At 44.6% G+C, this 17,058-nt stretch overlaps 1 protein-coding gene across 4 annotated transcripts in view, besides 2 other annotated features; it reads right to left on the minus strand.

Moving 5' to 3' along the window:
• The window catches only part of JAKMIP1 (janus kinase and microtubule interacting protein 1), a 174,351-nt gene that overhangs the window by 63,467 nt on the left and 93,826 nt on the right, over positions 1-17,058 (minus strand). For 3 of the 4 annotated variants that reach the window (NM_001099433.2, NM_144720.4, NM_001306133.2), the window contains exon 3: positions 15,808-16,302. The exons of the other annotated variant lie outside the window; for it this stretch is intronic. In NM_001099433.2, coding sequence (NP_001092903.1) covers positions 15,808-16,302 — 495 coding nt within the window. The remainder of the gene's footprint in view (positions 1-15,807; positions 16,303-17,058) is intronic. 4 annotated transcript variants of the gene reach the window in all.
• Positions 2,143-2,644: an enhancer, noted in NCBI's record as "H3K4me1 hESC enhancer chr4:6093535-6094036 (GRCh37/hg19 assembly coordinates)". NCBI's record gives its function as "activates a minimal SCP1, AML or CMV promoter by ChIP-STARR-seq in primed H9 embryonic stem cells {active_cell/tissue: H9 hESC(primed)}" and the evidence as "EXISTENCE:reporter gene assay evidence [ECO:0000049][PMID:30033119]".
• Positions 16,023-16,555: an enhancer, noted in NCBI's record as "H3K27ac-H3K4me1 hESC enhancer chr4:6107415-6107947 (GRCh37/hg19 assembly coordinates)". NCBI's record gives its function as "activates a minimal SCP1, AML or CMV promoter by ChIP-STARR-seq in primed H9 embryonic stem cells {active_cell/tissue: H9 hESC(primed)}" and the evidence as "EXISTENCE:reporter gene assay evidence [ECO:0000049][PMID:30033119]".

Raw genomic sequence — 17,058 nt, forward strand, 5'->3', positions numbered from 1 at the left:
GAAAACAAGCCCACTGACCCATGACTGATTTGGTGAGCTCCACTTTATTGCAAAGTTTGGGGGAATCAAAGACTGAAGCAGAGGCCACTACCTCAACATCAATTCTCATTCTTGGTACCTGTAGTGGGATGAATAATGTCCCCCAAAATGTCACATCTACCCCGAAAATCAGAATGTCACCTTACTTCGAAATAGGGCCTTTGCAGATGAAATGAAGATGCAAATTAAGATGAGGTTATACCACGTTAGGGTGGACCCTAAACCCACTGACTGGCATCCTTAAAAGAAGAGGACACCTGTAATCCCAGCACTTTGGGAGGCCGAGGCAGGCGAATCACCTGGGGTCAGGAGTCTGAGACCAACCTGGCCAACATGGTGAAACTCTGTCTCTCCTAAAAATACAAAAATTAGCCAGGTGAGGTGGTGCATGCCTGTAATCCCAGCTATTAGGGAGGCTGAGGCAGGAGAATTGCTTGAACCTGGCAGGCAGAGGTTGCAGTGAGCCGAGGTCACGCCACTGCACTCCAGCCTGGGTGACAGAGTGAGAGTCCATTTCAAAAAAAAAAAGAAGAAAAAGAAGAGGACAAGCTGCAGACATGCAGGGGAGAAGGCCACGTGCAGGCAGAGACTGAAGTGGTGCGACTGCAAGTCAAGAAATGCCGAGGACTGCCGGCCACACCAGAAGCTGCAAGAGGCCAGAAAACACTTTCACCCTAGAGCTTTCCAAGGGAGCATGGCCCAGCTGATATCTTGATTTGGGACTTCTGGACTCCAGAACCGTAGAGAAAATAAATGTCATTGTTGTAAGCCTCCAAGTTTGTGGTAATTTGTTACAGCTGCCCCCAGGAAACTAACAGAGCACCACACCAGGGTTTCTCAGAAGCCACAGGCCACGCAGTATGGGCTCCAGGATCACTTTAAACTAGAACATCACTGTCCCATGTTGACCATGATCACCTTAAACTAGAGTGTCACCGCCTCATGTTGACCGTAACCACCTTAAACTAGAGCGTCACTGCCCCACGTTGACCATGACCGCCTTAGAATGTCAAAACGCCATGTTGACCGTGACTGCCTTAAACTAGAGCATCGCTGCCCCAGGTTGACCATAACCACCTTAAACTAGAGTGTCACTCCCCATGTTGACCATAACCACCTTAAACTAGAACATCACTGTCCCATGTTAACCATGATGCCCTTAGAGTGTCAAAACCCCACGTTGACCATGACGTCCTTAGAGTGTCAAAACCCCACGTTGACCATGACTGCCTTAAACTAGAGCATCGCCACCCCAGGTTGACCATAACCACCTTTTCTTCTTGACTTTTACTAAGATGCATCCTAATGTGTAGACACAAGTCCAAAAGCCTTCTTGCATTTCTAATCCAAGCCAGCTGACAAAGAAATGAAACCAGCAGCCCATCTTCTGAATGTGTTGCCATGGGCAACAGGTTTGCTTAAGGAGTGACATTTATCAGACAGGGTGTGGGTGAATAGGAGAAATGAACGTTTGATTTTTTCACTCCTTCTCCTAAGTGGACCATTTTGGGTGAAAACCATCCACACAATGAGATACCTGAATGGGGGGAGATTTTTGTTTGGCACTGAAATGGAAACGGAGCCTTTGTGATACTGGATCCCTGGCACATTTTAAATTAAGCTCAAACCGTCTCTTGTGCAAATACACAGAGTATTTTTTCCCCCATTTTACTTCTCTTACATATACATTTTTCCTATAACAGAAGAACACATTTTACAAGTATCCTATTACAGAAACTATAAGCTGCTACATGCTTTAGCTCACTTGCTTGTTTAATTCTAACTCTCGGCAGATATGGGAATACCCCCATTTTATAGGTGAGGTGCTAGAGGCTTGGAGACAGTAACCACCTGTCCCAGGGTCACATGGCAAACAAATGGGGAGCCCAGAATCACTCAGGGCAGCCTCTCTCCAAAGGCTTCTCTTCCCACCATGTGATGACAGCTCCCCTGAACACAAACCCATGAACATACGTGATTGAGAAAAGGGGCTGGAGACTGTTCCTGAGGACTCAGTATTGGTGTGCTTGCACTGTCTATAAATCAGAAATTTTAAACTGACACACAGCTCTTCTGCCATTCTTGGCACAGTATGGGGTTAAGGCATGAACTGGTGGTTTGTCACCAACTGTGGGACCCAGGCTATAGCTGGATGAGGACTTTAAAAGGGTGCCTTGTCACCTGCCTCCAGTCCCAAAATCTCTTCCAGCATCTCATCTCCCGCAGAGGGCCCCCAGCCCCAGTTTACACTCTCCCCATGCTGGGACACTCACTACCTCTCCAGGAGGTTCTTAGTTTCTAAGAACCTTTGGAATCTCAGAGTCTTTCCAACATTGAGGGTGCGGAATAAATGAATATATCATCAAATCATCAGGACTTTTTAAAAGGTAAGGAAAAGAAAAGAGAGAACTCCCTTCTACCCCAGCAACACCCTCAGTGCCTTTCACTGGGTGTCCCGCCCCCTCCCTCCCAGCCGTCCTCACCTGAAGAGCACACTCCAGGTGTGGTGGAATCCCGGCCAGCCCACAGCCTGCATGCAGAGGAGCCCTGTACTGTCAGTGAGAGGGGGCCAGTGTGGGTACAGGCACTTCAGCTCTCTGAAGTCATTCACTTTCCCTAGATCTCCTTCCTGTGCTACAAAATGAGACACTGGGCGAAGAACCATTTCCTGCCAATGGGCTTGTGTACCGATGCCCAGAGGAAACTGGAGCACCACCCACCTGCAGCCGCAGGCTCCCCTCCCCATGGCCACACCCCCTTCCTGCTCCTCTGGGAATGCACGGGGCTTGGCAGAGGTGGGTTTTAAGCCATTGAGAGAACATTGTTGGTTCTGCCCAGCTATGAAAGTCTATAGGAGGAAAAGATAGAATATAAGCAAAATACCCTTCGTCGTTATTCTGTCACTGAAGCTCTCAGTGCACAGCATAGTGAGGTCTGCAGGGAAGCATGGCCCCTTCTAAGAGGGTCCTTGACCCCAAGTCATTGGAAGGCAGAGAATAGAAAACCTTTTCAGTGTTCATGCAGACCCACTATATCGGTCATCATCACATGCATGGGAGATAGAAACAGAAACGCATTCCTGGAAATCATTCCCCCAGATTCAGGTGCAGGGGCCTCGATTCTACCTGTGATGCTTCATCTACTGTGTGGTGGGCACAAGGTGTTTGCTTGTGATCTCATCTATACCTTTTGCCAGAAATAGTTCACACTTTTAGAACTCCTATTAAAAGTAAGAAAATAAAGTCTCCAGTACTTGACAACAGGATTCCATTATATTTTCATTTTGTATTTTACTGGGAATCCAAGTATCACATATCATCATGGCTATTTTAGAGATATGGTTAAAATGATCACATCATGCCCCATTACTTCCAAACCTTTGCCAGTGTTTCTCCCTCTGCATAGGATCACCTAACAAACTCCTATGCATCCTTCAAAACCCAGCTCACACCTCACTTCCTCTGTGAAATGACTCCTGCATCTACCCACAGAAGTGATCACATCCTCTTCTTTGTTGCTGCCTCTTTGGCTTGCATGGTCCTATTACCAAACCGTCCTGCTCACACTAGAATAATCTGCTCACACTCCAGTTAACTGTAAGCGCTTTGCTGCCTGGAATCGTGTCTTATTTTTCTCTATAACTCAGTAAATAAATATTCAACTGAGGGGGAGCTCTCCTGCCCAGGGCTATATGTGTTCTTGGGCCATTCTGACTGACAGCAAATTTCATGGCCATGGATGACTATAAACAGTGTCCAGCTCCCATTAAACTGATTGTTTACTATTAACATGCAGCAATTAGCAGCGAGTCCAGATCATGTGCTGCTTCCAAGGCTGATAACCAACCCAACGAGATGTCCCAAAAAGACAGCTTCAGAAACAATCACTCAAATTCTTATGCAAAACAGTCACCTCATAAAGGTCAGCAGTCTCTTGAAGTTCAGGGTCCTGAACCAGACACCTCCTGTATTACAATGAATGATGTCCACCTGTACAGGGAGGTGTGGCTGCCGTGCCCTGAAAAGTATCCTGTCTCCAGAGAGGAATGATGCTTACTTGGGAAGAGGTCACTTTCCTCAAAGAAGGAGCCAGGTTTGCCCGTGGTAGGAGTCGGTGGGGAACAAGTCCTGGCCCAGTGCCTCTGCCCACCACCACTCAATGTGTCTGGTCAACCTGTGTGCAGGGCTCCAGAGTCCCACCTGCCCAGGAGGCTGCAAGTTCCCTCTTTTCTGCCACCCTGGCTCGGCTGGGCAGTCCCCAGATGTCCTGCCCTTCACCTCCCAAGCAGAGATCACATGGGAGCGGGTGTCACCTGTCACCCCAGTAGACTGCGAGCTCCCTGCAGATGGCCAGGCAGGGTTTTAGCCATGGCCCCCCAGGACTCCCCCGAGAGGCTGGCCCAGCAGGCATCTATATAGGGAACATGCATCGAACACATGCCACTGTCAGTTCATGAGTTTTAAAAACAACCATTATGGTTTTATAAAAGCATAAAATAAAATCTCAAACAATCTGTGCTAGCCCTGGGTCTAGCTCACAGCAGGTGCTCACCAAATGGAGTGCCCGGAAAATATATAGCCTCTCTTCCGTAATTTTCTGGCAAAAAAAGAAAGAAAACACTCTCCTTTATCTCCCAGCTGCCTGAAGCTTGATGCGAAAGGGCCACTGAGAAGGCCAGAAATGGGCCACTCCTACCCAACTGACAGGAGGAATCGTGCTAAGAAAACAGCCTGGCCCCAGTGAGAGGGCTTGGCAGACAGGCATGGGAGTAAACAAACCTACCAACCTCCGGGGCCCCTGGGGTCTCAGGAACTGCGGGCACCCAGCCTAGGCTGGTCCATCGGCCCCTGTTCTCCTAGTTGAGATCCTGAGGCCCAAGGCCTTAAGCTGTGCCTTGATTCCTCCTACCTTGTCAAACTAGTTCCCAACAGTGGCACTCTTTCAAAAATAAAGTTTTAACTCTTATTAGGAAAGGAATGCAGATCCATTATAGAAAATGAAAAATACAGCCAGACGCAGTGGCTCACGCCTATAATCCCAGCACTTTGGGAGGCAGAGGCAGGACATTTGCTTTAGCTCAGGAGTTCAAGACCAGCCTGGGCAACATGGAGAAACCTTGTCTCTGCAAAAAATACAAAAAAATTAGCTGGGCATAGGTGGTCCTGGCTATTCAGGAGGCTGAGGTGGGAGGATTGCTTGAGCCTGGAAGGTAGAGGCTGCAGTGAGCTGTGATTGCACCACTGCACTCCAGCCTGGGCGACAGAGCAAGACCCTGTCAAAAAAGAAAAAAGATAGAAGAAAAATAAAAAGGAAGAGGGAGGGAAGGGACAGAGGGAGGGAGGAAGGAAGGAAAGAAGGAAAGTGGAAGGAAGGGGGAGTGGGGGAGGGAGGAAGGGGAGAGAGAGGAAGGGAAAGAAAAGAAAGAGGGAAATGAAAGAAAAAGAAAGGAGCAAAGGAAGGAAGAAGGGAAGGAAAGGAAGAAGAAAGGAAGGGAGGAGGGAAATAGAAGAAAGAAGGAAAGAAAAGAAAGGAAAGGAGCGAAGGAAAAAGGGAAGGAAAGGAAGAAAGGAAGGAAGGGAGGGAGGGAGGGAGAGAGGGAAGAAAGGAAGGGGAAAGAGAGAGACAGCGAAAGAAAGAAAGGAAGGGAGGAAGAAAGGAAAGAAAGAAGAAAGGAAGGAAGGAAAATTAAAAATACAACAAAGAACAGAGAAGGAAACAGAAAGCCCCCATGATGTCAGGATCCAGAGGCAGCCCCTGCCAACCTGTCACCTGCTTCCCCTCATTCTACTTCTGCAAGACAGAGTCCTGTTTGCAGCCATACATCCTGTTTTTTAACCTTCTGTGTTCACTTTCCCAAGTCCCTATAGCTTGTCATAAATGCCTGAGTCATTGTCCTGACTCAGAAACTCGAGGCAGCAAACGCGGATGCAATAGACCACTGGCAGAACACACACGGTGCCATCTGATGTGTACGTAAGATTTGTGCATGCTTTTGCACATTTCCTTCGGTAGACTCCTGGAAGTGGAATTAGCACACTAAAGGGCAGGAGCGTGCATAAAGCTGTTGTTTGCACAGAGGCGGGGGGCGTCTGCTATGCACCACACTGCACAGGCTCTGGGCTTTCACAGTGAACAAGACAGACTCAGTCCCTGTCCTTACAGAACTTGGATCCTAGTAGGGGAAAACACACAAGAAATAATCAAAGAGAGAGAGAGAAAAATATCAGATGAGAAGTGCTGTGGCAAGGATGGGAAAAGGTGGCATATAACTGAGTGACTCGGGGCTGGCCTAGATGATGCTCAGGCAGGCCTCCCTGAACAAGGGACACTGAGGTGGGAGCTACTCAGTGAGAAAGAACCAGCGGTGCAAAGATCGGGGCTGGAGCGCTCCCGGCCAAGGACACAGGAGTGCCTGTGCAAGGGCCCTGGGGCTGAGAACAACCTGCCAAAGGCACCTGCTGTCTTCTCTTTTGACACTTAAATTACACCCTACCTTTAAAAAAAAATCCTGGCTAATTTGATTGGGTATGATAGCATCCTGCTGTTTTAATTTGCATTTCATGACCGGTGAGGTTAAACTAATTTTTATATTTAATAGGCATTGCTTTTCTTTGTGAACTGTGTGTTCCCATGCCTTGACTAATTATAAATTCCCATTGTTCCTCTTGTAAACTTGACAAACTTTTTATACACTGAGGATGTTAACCCTCTGCCACATTGTTTAAAGACTGTTTCCCAGGCTATATCTTCACTCTCCATTTTTCTAAAGGCCTGCATGCCATCTGTGCATCAAATACTCTGTTGAGGAAACTGGGGGTAAAATAATATTTGTCATTATCATTATAACAAATTCATTTTCAGATCCCATTGGACATTGCTTTTAATCCTGTATCATTCAGAATTGAGTTTTGAAAGAGGATCCATGGCCTGAGGCTGAGTATAAAATTCCCACATAACTTTTACCCTGTAAAATGGGAGTACGGGTTGAGTATCCCTTATCTGAAATGTTTGGGACCAGAAGTGTTACAGATTTGAGGGTTTTTGGATTTTGGAATATTTGCACATACATAGTGAGATATCTTGGGGATGGGACCCAAGTCTAAACATGAAATCCATTTATGTTTCACATACACTTATACATATAGCTGAAAGGTAATTTTATACAATATTTTTAATAATTTTGTACATGAAACAAAAGTCTGTGTACATTGAAACATCGGAAGGCAAAGTTCTCACTGTCTCAGCCACCCAAGTTGACAGTCTGGGGTTGTTTGGCATCACCATCATTCCTGACAATGAATGTATTTATTTATTCAAGACAGACTCTCTCTCTGTCACCCAGGCTGGAGTGCAGGGGCATGATCGTAGGTCACAGTAGCCTCAATCTGCTGGCTTCAAGCAATCCTCCCACCTGGGCCTCCTGAGTAGCTGGGACTACAGGGGTATGCCACCATGTCCGGCTAATTTTTAAATTTTTTGTAGAGGCAAGACCTCACTGCCCAGGATGGTCTCAAACTCTCAGCCTCAAGCAATCCTCCCACCTCAGCCTCCTGATGTATTGGGATTACAGTCATGAGCCATCTCGCCCCGTTCTGACTCTGAATTTATATGCTACCAATAAGTAATCACTTCTTACACTTATTCACACATACCACTGATACAGTGGAGAAGATAATGTGCTCATGGTAACATGTGAGCTTGCTTGCATGGGGAGTCTGGGTGTGTATGGAAGCTCTATCACAGCTGATGGGGGCTAGGGGGATCTTTTTTCCCCTTGGGTATGCTAAATACACTGCGTTGTACACCTGCATTTTGACTGCGATCTGTCACAGGAGGTTGGGTGTGCAATTTTCCACTTGTGACTTCATGTTGGCACTCACAGAGTTTCAGATTTTGGAGCATTTGGGACTTTGGATTAGGGATGCTCAACCTATTTCTATACCACCTTTGGAAAACTCCATAAGGATGGGGGAAGCTTTACAGATCACTTCCCCATTTTGCAACAAAAAATGCAATAAGAAGCGTTCATTCTCATCATCATTTGACAAATGGTGTGAGTCAACCATTCCATGGGAAAAGCCAGGCCCACGCTTCCTTAGGCAGCTTGGAGAAACGCAATCTGGTTCCCTTGATCAAAAGCACCCAAGACCAGGATGTCAGGTTTTTGTCTGGCTTTGAATATTTCAGAGGTAGTGAAAGCTCTCTCCGTGGAACCGGAAAGAATAATTAAAATGCAATGCCCTTTATGGCTCACTTACATTGTGGGACAGAAAAGCGGTAACTGTGACTTGAATCAGAGATAACAAAAGTGTAGTGTCGAGTTTGGAGTTCGAGAACATGGTTCTGATACGCATGAGTCTGGTTTAACAAGGTGCTGTCCAAAACCACGCCTGCCTGAGCACACTTTACACAACTACCACCCAGGTCAGAAAAGAAACATTCCTCGTCGCGTGCGGTGGCTCACGCCTGTAATCCCAGCACTTCGGGATGCCAAGACAGGTGGATCACCTGAGGTCAGGAGTTCGAGACCAGCCTGGCCAACATGGCGAAGCCCTGTCTCTACTAAAAATACAAAAGAATTAGCCAGGCGTAGTGGCAGGCGCCTGTAATCCCAGCTACCCGGGAGGCTGAGGCAGGAGAATTGCTTGAATCCAGGAGGTGGAGGTTGCAGTAAGCCGAGATCACAGCATTGCACTTCAGCCTGAGCAACAAGAGTGAAACTTCATCTGAAGGAACAAGGAAGGGAGGGAGGGAGGAAGGGCAGGAGGGAAGGAAAGAAAGAAAAGAGAAAGAAAAGAAAGGAAAGGAAGGAAGGAAGAAAGAGAGAGAGAGAGAGAAAGAAAAAGAAAGAAAGAAAGAAAGAAAGAAAGAAAGAAAGAAGGAAAGGAAGAAAGAAAGGAAGAAAAGAAAGAAAAAGAAAAAGAAAGAAAGAAAAGAAAGAAAGGAAAGGAAAGGAAGAAAGAGAGAGAAAGAAAGAAAGAAAGAAAGAAAGAAAGAAAGAAAGAAAGAAAGAAAGAAAAAGAAAGAAAGAGAAGGAAGGAAGGAAGGAAAGAAAGAGAAAGAAAAGAAAGAAAGAAAGAAAGATTGATTCCTGATGCTCGAGAAGGCTGGCTCCTGCCGCTTCCTGATCAACCCCACACCCGGAGGTCATCCACACTCTTATTCTAGCACCTTAGATTAGTTTTTACGCTTCTTAAACTTCATGTGAGTAAAATCATATAGTATGTAGCTTTTGTGCTCATCTTCTTTGGTTTGGTTCTGACACCACGGCTGGGAAATTCATTCATTTTCTTGCCTGTTTTGGAAATTCATTTTTTCCCAGTGCTGTGTAATATCCCATTGACTAAATACACCTTTATCCATCCTATTGCTACATTTATTGCTCACAGAGCATGTTTTCTATCCTTTTCCTTCAGGGAAAGTGGGTCTTTATATTTAAAGTGTGACTTTTGTATCCACTCTGACAATTTCTGCCTTTTAACTGGTTTAGTCCATTTACATTTAATGTAACTACTGATATGACTCCTTTAATTCCACCGTTTTGCTGTCTCTTCTCCATTTGTCTCGTCTGTTTTTTTCCCCTGCTTTGGTCCTTCTTTGCTACCCTCTTTTAGTGCAAACAGATTTCTTTAGTCTCTCATTTTATTTCCCCATTTGCTTTTTATCTGTGCCTCCTTGTGCTGCCTTTTTAAACCTTGATTTGTCACAGCCTCCTTGAACTCATAGCGTCACGCACCCCCTCAGACAAGACTGAAGGACTGTGCGAGAGCACAGATCCATTTTCCACCAACCACCCCCACCCCATCCTTTCTAGATTGTTTTATGCATTTTACGTCTGCATATGTCATAAACCCCACAATACAATCTGATTCTTTTGCTTTAAACAGTCACTTGTGTTTTGAATACACTGAGAAAAAGAGATCGTCTCAGACATTGACTCTCCTTTACCCACTTCTCCTGTTCTTTATTCCCTTCCAAGAGAACTAAATTCCTATCTGGCATTGTTTCTCTTCACCTGCAGAACCTCCTTTAGCATTTTTGGTGGTACAGCCTCTGGCGACAAATAATCTTAGCTTCCTTTTACCTAAAATGTCTTTATTTCACTCTTATTGTAAAATAATATTTTTTGCTTGATGAGAAATTCTGAGTTAACAGATGTCTCTGTTTCGTTTTAGGGCACTTTAGTGTATGGGATGCTACCGAGGGGCACGGCTGCTCCACGTCCTTGCCATTTCTCAGCACTGTTAGCTTTTTAATTTAGCCATCCTGGTGCCTGGGCAGTGTTGTTTCATTGTGTGCTGTTCTTCCTCTTATAAATATGCTCCTTTTAAATGCAAATACAAGATCCACCATTAAACTTTTATCAATCCTATTTAAATTTCCAATTTTTCTTGTTTTAAACATTTTAGAGTTTAATTTATAAATCATGAACTTCGCCGATTTTTAGTAAGTCTTCCAAGTTGTGGAGCCATCATTATAATCTGTTTCAGAACCTTCCTCGCCCAGTAAGGTCCCTCACACTCATTTACAGCTAATCTCCATTCCAACTAGTCCCCGTCAGCCACTATAGATTTGGATATATAGATTTGGCTATTCTGGAGATTTCATACAAATGCAAGCATACAATATGAGGTCTTTTGTGTCTAGCTTCTATCATTTAGCATAATGTTTCTGAGGTTCAGAAATGTTATAGATATTGAAGCATATATCAATATTTCATACCTTCTCATTGTTGAATCACATTGTGTTATATAGACATGCCACATTTATCCATTCACCAACTGAGGACATTTGGGCTTCTCCCATTCGTTGACTATTATAATGCTATAAGCATTCATGTACAAATCTTTATATAGATATGTGTTTTCATTTCTCTTGGGTAGATACTTAGGAGTAGAATTACAGAGTCCGTAGGTGTCCTTTTTTTAGACTTTTTAAGAAACTACAAAACCATTTATCAAGGTGGCTATACCATTTTAAAGTCCTATCAGAATGACGGTACCCATTCCTCCACATGCTAGTCAACATTTACTATTGTCTGTTTTTTTTTAATAGTCATTCTAGTGGATGAGAATTTATATCTAGTTGTAATTTTACTCTGGTTCCCTGATGATCAATGAGGTAGAACACCTTTTCACATATTTGTTAGTCATTTAATTATCCTGTTTTTGAAATATTCTTTCAAGCTTTTGCCCATTTTTGAGTTTTCATATTATTTTATAGTTTTTATAATCTGCACAAAAGTTCTTTGTGGTTATAGGTATTGAACATGTCTTCTCTCAGTCTGTAATTTGCCTTGTCTCTCTTTTATTAGTGTCTTTTGATGAACAATGATTATTTCATGTCCAATGTACAACCCTCTCTGAATAGTATATTTATGTAAATAGTGTACTGTGTCCTGCTTAAGAAATATTTACCATGTCCCAAGATCATGAAAATAGTCTGTTTTCTACTAGTAGCTATATTGTTTTACTTTTTACATGTAGGCCTATGGACCACTTTGAATTAATCTTTGTGGGTAGTATGATATAGACTTCATACTCTATATACAGAGAGTGTGTGTGGTGTGTGTGTGTGTGTATTTCCTGTTTTTTTTTCTTACAGATAGCTGACCAGTCCAATATTGTCCATTGAAAGATCATCCTCTCTATAGTGAACTGCCACGGTATCTTTGTCCACACACGTGAAGATGTACTTCTGGGCTCTTCTGTTCCATTGACGTGTCTCTCTAACCTTCAGCCTACTGTCTTGATTACTGTAGCTTTGTAGTAAACTTTGTTATAGGTTGTATGAAACCTCCAATTTTTCTCTTCTTCAAGATTGTGATTCCACATCCTTTCAATTTTTACATCAAATTTAGAATCTGCTTGCCGATGTCTGCATTTAAAAAGTCTGCTGGTGGCTGGGCGTGGTGACTCACGTCTGTAATCCTAGCACTTTGGGAGGCCAAGGCAGGTGGATCACTTGAGATCAGGAGTTCGAGACCAACCTGGCCAACATGGCAAAACCCCATCTCTACTAAAAATACAAAAAAAAAAAAAAAAAAAAAAAATTAGCCGGGCATGGTGGCAGGCATCTGTAATCCCAGCTACTCGGGAGGCTGAGGCAGGAGAATTGCTTGAACCCAGGAGGCAGAAGTTGCAGTGAGTTGAGATCATGCCACTGCACTCCAGCCTGAGCAACAGAGCAAGACTCAGTTAAAAAAAAAAAAAAAAAAGAGTCTGCTGGGATTTTGGTAAGGGATAGCACTGAATCTGTAGATCAATCATGGAAAAACTGATATCTATACTAAGTCTTCTAATCGATGAAAACGATATCCCTTTCCATTGATTTAGATCTCCTTAAGTTTTTCTCAGCAATGTTTTATAGTTTTCAGGGGAGACATCTTACACAACTTTCCTTAGATTTATTCCTAGGTATTTGAATTTTGTGGTGCTCTACTGTAAATGATATTTTTTAAGATTTCATTTTCTAATTGTTCACTGCTGATATATTGAAACAACTTATTTGTGTGTATGTACCTTGTATATGTAGACTTTGATAAACTCACTTATTAATTCTAATAGTTTGTAGGGTCTTGCCATGTTCTGAATGTGTCTCACAAAAATTCATACATTGAAACTTATCATCAGTGTGATAGTATTAGGAGATGGGGTCTTTAAGAGGTGATGAAGTCATGAGGGCAAAGCCTTTATGAAGGGAGTTAGTGACCTTATAAGAGAAATATGAGCTGCCTGCCTCTCTTTTGTCATTCCACTCCTTCTGCCATGTGAGGACATGGCATTCAAGGCACTGTCTTAGAAGCAGAAACTGGACCCTTGCCAGATAGTGCCTAGATCTTGGACTTCCCAGCCTCCAGAATGGTAAGAAAAAAATTTCTATTATATATAAGTTACCCAGTCTGTGTTATTTTGTTATAGCAACAGTAATGAACTAAAACAGGTGTCTTGGGTTTGCTACATCACAACCATAGCACCTGCAAATAATGAGTTTCCCTTTTTTCTCCCTCTCTAAAGACTTTTTTTTTTTTTTTTTTTTTTTTTTTTTGAGAGGGAGTCTCACTCTGTCGCCCAGGCTGGAGTGCAGTGGCGCGATCTCAGCTCACTGCAAGCTCCACCTCCCAGGTTCACACCATTCTCCTGCCTCAGCCTCCTGAGTAGCTGGGACTACAGGCGCCCACCACTGCACCCCGCTAATTTTTTGTATTTTTAGTAGAGATGGGGTTTCACTGTGTTAGCCAGGATGGTCTCAATCTCCTAAACTCGTGATCTGCCTGCCTCGGCCTCCCAATGAAACTTTTATTTATTTTATTTTATTTTATATTTGACATCCTGGCCAATGCAATGTTGACTAGAAGTGGTAATAGTCAACATCTTGTTTTGACCTTGAACTTGGGTGGGAAATGTTCAATATTTCATCATTATGTATGTTACTTGTAAAAGATTTTTGATAGAACCATTTATCATATTAGAGAAATTCCATTCTTTTCCTGGTTTTCGGAGAGTTTATATCATGAAGTTGAATTTTACCAACAGATTTTTCTGCATCTATTAAGATGACTGACCACGTTTTTCTTTTTTATCATATTATTATGTTGAATTATATTCAGTGATTTTAGAATATGAAGCCAATCTTTATATTTTCAGAATAAACCCAGCTGGGTTATGACTTATTAGCCTTCCTATGTATTGCTGGATTTGATATGTTAATATCTTGCTCGTACTCTTGTATCTATGTTCATAAAAGGTAATCCAAAAGTTTTCTTATCCTGTAATGTTATTGCTTTTGGAATCAGAGTTACACTGGCTTCATAAGTTAGTTAAAATGTGTTCCTAATTCTCTATTTTCTGGAAGACTTTGGCTAGAATTAGTTTTACTTCTTTCTTAAACACTTGAAAGAATTTACTTGTGAAGCCATCTAGGCCTGGGCCTTTCTTCATAGGAAAATTATTCATTACAGATTTAATTTATTTAGGAGCTTTAGGACTACTTAGATTTTCTATTTGTTTCATGTCAGTTTTGGTACATTGTGCTTATTCAAGGAATATGTTCATTTTATCGAGGTTTCAAGTTTATTGGTATATGCTGTTTGCTGTGGTTTTATTGACTGTAGGAGCTGTGGTATTTCCCCCTTTACATTTTTGATATTAGTAATTTATTGTCTCTGTTTTGCTTTATCAATATTGCTAAATGTTTGTCAATTTATCAGTTTTAATTAACTCTTGAATTTGTTGATTTTCTTTATTGATTTTATTTCACTGCTTCTTGCTCTTTAAAATTTCCTTCCTTCTACTCTCTGGAGTTTAATTTGCTGTTCTTTTTCTTTCTTCTTGAGATAGAAGTTTAGATGCTTGATTTTCAGCATTTCTTCTTTTTGTCTAAAATATGTTTTGCTCTAAGGACTAATTACAACCCACAAATTTTGAAATGCGGTCTACAATGATAAAAGTATGTCATGTCCACAGTATTCTGCAGTTGTGGAATAGAGTGCTCTGTCAGGTAAGTTCACGTTGGTTAATTGTGTTGGTGAAATCATGTCTTTATTCATTCTTTGTCTGTGTGTTCTACTGTTTGCTGAGAGAAGCGTGTTCGTCCCCAACCGTAACTGTGGATTTGTCTGCTTCTCCTTTTAGTGTTGATAATTTTTTTCTTTTATACATTTTGAGGTTTTGTTATTGAATGCATTCCCACTGAATTGACCCTTTATTATTAAGAACTGTCCTTTTGTGTCTTTAGTATTACTTCTTGCCTTAGAGCCTTTGACATTAATACAGCCAGACCAGCTTTGCTTTTAGGAAGTGCTTGCACAGTGTATCTTTCCCCATCCTCTTATGCTCCATGTCACCATGTCCTCATAATTAAGATGTCTCTCTTGTAAATATCACTGTTACTCTTTGATCCAGTCTGAAAATCTCAGCTTACTTTACTTCTTAGCCTCCTGCCCCACACAGCTTCAAAGTGTGACAAACGCCCTGAGGGGCAGACTGGTCATGTGTTTGTGGCGGGCCCCCTCCCTTTGTCTCCTACGTCCAGTGAGGGCATGGGAGCTGTCATTCTGCCTTTCCAGCTGGGCTCGCCAGCCTCCCCCTTCACTCCAGGACTCAGGAGGATCTCCTGTGCAGCAAGCTGGCCTAGGTGGGGCTCCTCTGGTTTCCATTGTTTCATGCCCACTCTGAGATGGCAGAAAAGTCCTACTCATCTCTCTGAGGACATCCAATCCTCAGCCCGCACCCAGAATCCACAAATGCCCCAAGGGAAGAAAGCAGCTGGCAATTAGGCCGCCCAGGCAGGGCTCTTTCCCCTTCCCTTTGGAATTTTAGTTCATCCACACTCCACAGCTTCCACAGATCTCCAGTATCTTTCAAAACAGGACTATTTGCAATTTATATGTTTCCCTTGCTGTTGCAGCCAGTTGGCCGGCCTGCCCTGACCTGTGGCATCTTACCTGGAGATGGAAGTCTGCTCATGGTTGTTGAAGTAAATGAATCAATAAATGCCCGACACTTAGATACGCTATCACGAGGCATTTGCAACAACCCTCGCTAGTCTCCATTAAGCTCCTTTGACAAATGGGGAACTGTTCTTTGAGCGGATTACCTGCAGCCCCAAAGCCTCCTTACCACACCTAAGACGGGAGGGAGGTTGCTGGGGCCCCAGTGCTTTGAACAATGCCTGGAGCACAGCAGGTCCTCGGAGCTCCGCATTTCCCCCATGCGTGCAGGGAGGGAAGGCCGCGTGCCCGCGGGCGGGGGAGGGGGCGGCACGTACCAGCCTGCGGATGTCGCGCTCGCACTCGCGCTTGATGCGGTGCACCTCGTCTTGGTGCGCCTGGTAGGCGGCACGCAGGTCGGCTGCCTTGGTCTTGTCAGCCTGCATGCAGTTACTGAGCGCCTCCTCTGCCTGCTTGCGCGCTGCCTTGAGCTCCAGGATCTCCTGCTGCAGCCGCAGGCGCTCTCCATCGAAGGCCCTGCGCGCCTCCTCGCGCGCCTCGGTCAGCAGCGCCGTCTTGACCTTGTCGGCCGCGCCGTCGCGCAGCACGTTCAGCGTGGCCTGCAGCCGCTGCAGCTCGCCCTCCTTGATCTTGGCGGTGCGCGCCGCCTCCTGCTCGTGCTGCCGGATGAGCCCCTCGCGCAGCGCCTGCAGCTCCTTGGTCTTCTCCTCATGCAGCTTGGCCTTGAGCTCCGAAATGTAGGCCGTGTGCCGTCGCTGCTCCTGCTCGCGCTCCAGCTTCGCCTCCTGCAGCCGCTCGCGCAGTTTGCCCACCTGCAGCCAGAGCGGCGAGAGAGCCGGTCAGGGTCAGGGTCAGGGTCAGGGTCAGGGTCAGGGTCACAGCTGGGGGAGCTGGCCACAGCCTCCCCACGCCCAAGACACCCACCTGGGCCCACGTTCCCATGGATTCCCCCTTCGGCAGTGCCCTGCAGGCCTGACCCTCCTGCCAGCCCCACTTAGAATCTCTCCTGCTAGTTCCCTGAGACTTTCCCTGGGGGTGGAAACCCCCTGAGGATGCTGGAGAGGCATTCAAGCCTTTGACATCTCTTCCAGGTTGTAAATTGAGACGACTGCTCAATCACAAAACACACCCTGCAGAAATCATCACCAAGACCCAAAAGATTGTAAACCAGAAATATATTTCCAGGGCCCCATGCGCGGACTGTGGAGTTGGAAAAGACAGACCAGGCTTCTAAGTCCTGGGGGGCAGTGAGCAGGGGGCACCATTCTTGTTGAGTGGGGTCCCTAGCTGGGCTGGGGGCTCCAATGCATCACCCACATTGCCACATGAACCCCTCACGGTCTTGGGAAGGAAGTAGCGTGCTCCCTCTCTTTCTCCCTCTCTCCTCTCTCTCTCTCTCTCTTCCTCTCTCTCTCCTCTGTTTTATCATGAGGCAGCCAAAGATCAGAGACAGTCTGGTGAGCTGCCCAGGGTGAGGGATGAGGACCCTGTGCTACCAGGCAACCCACCCCGCCTTGAGCCTATTCATTTTATCAGCAAACAATTCAAAACATTACTTATAAAACGTC

Source organism: Homo sapiens, chromosome 4 (genome assembly GCF_000001405.40).
Source record: "Homo sapiens chromosome 4, GRCh38.p14 Primary Assembly".
Classification (NCBI taxonomy): Eukaryota; Metazoa; Chordata; class Mammalia; order Primates; family Hominidae; genus Homo; species Homo sapiens.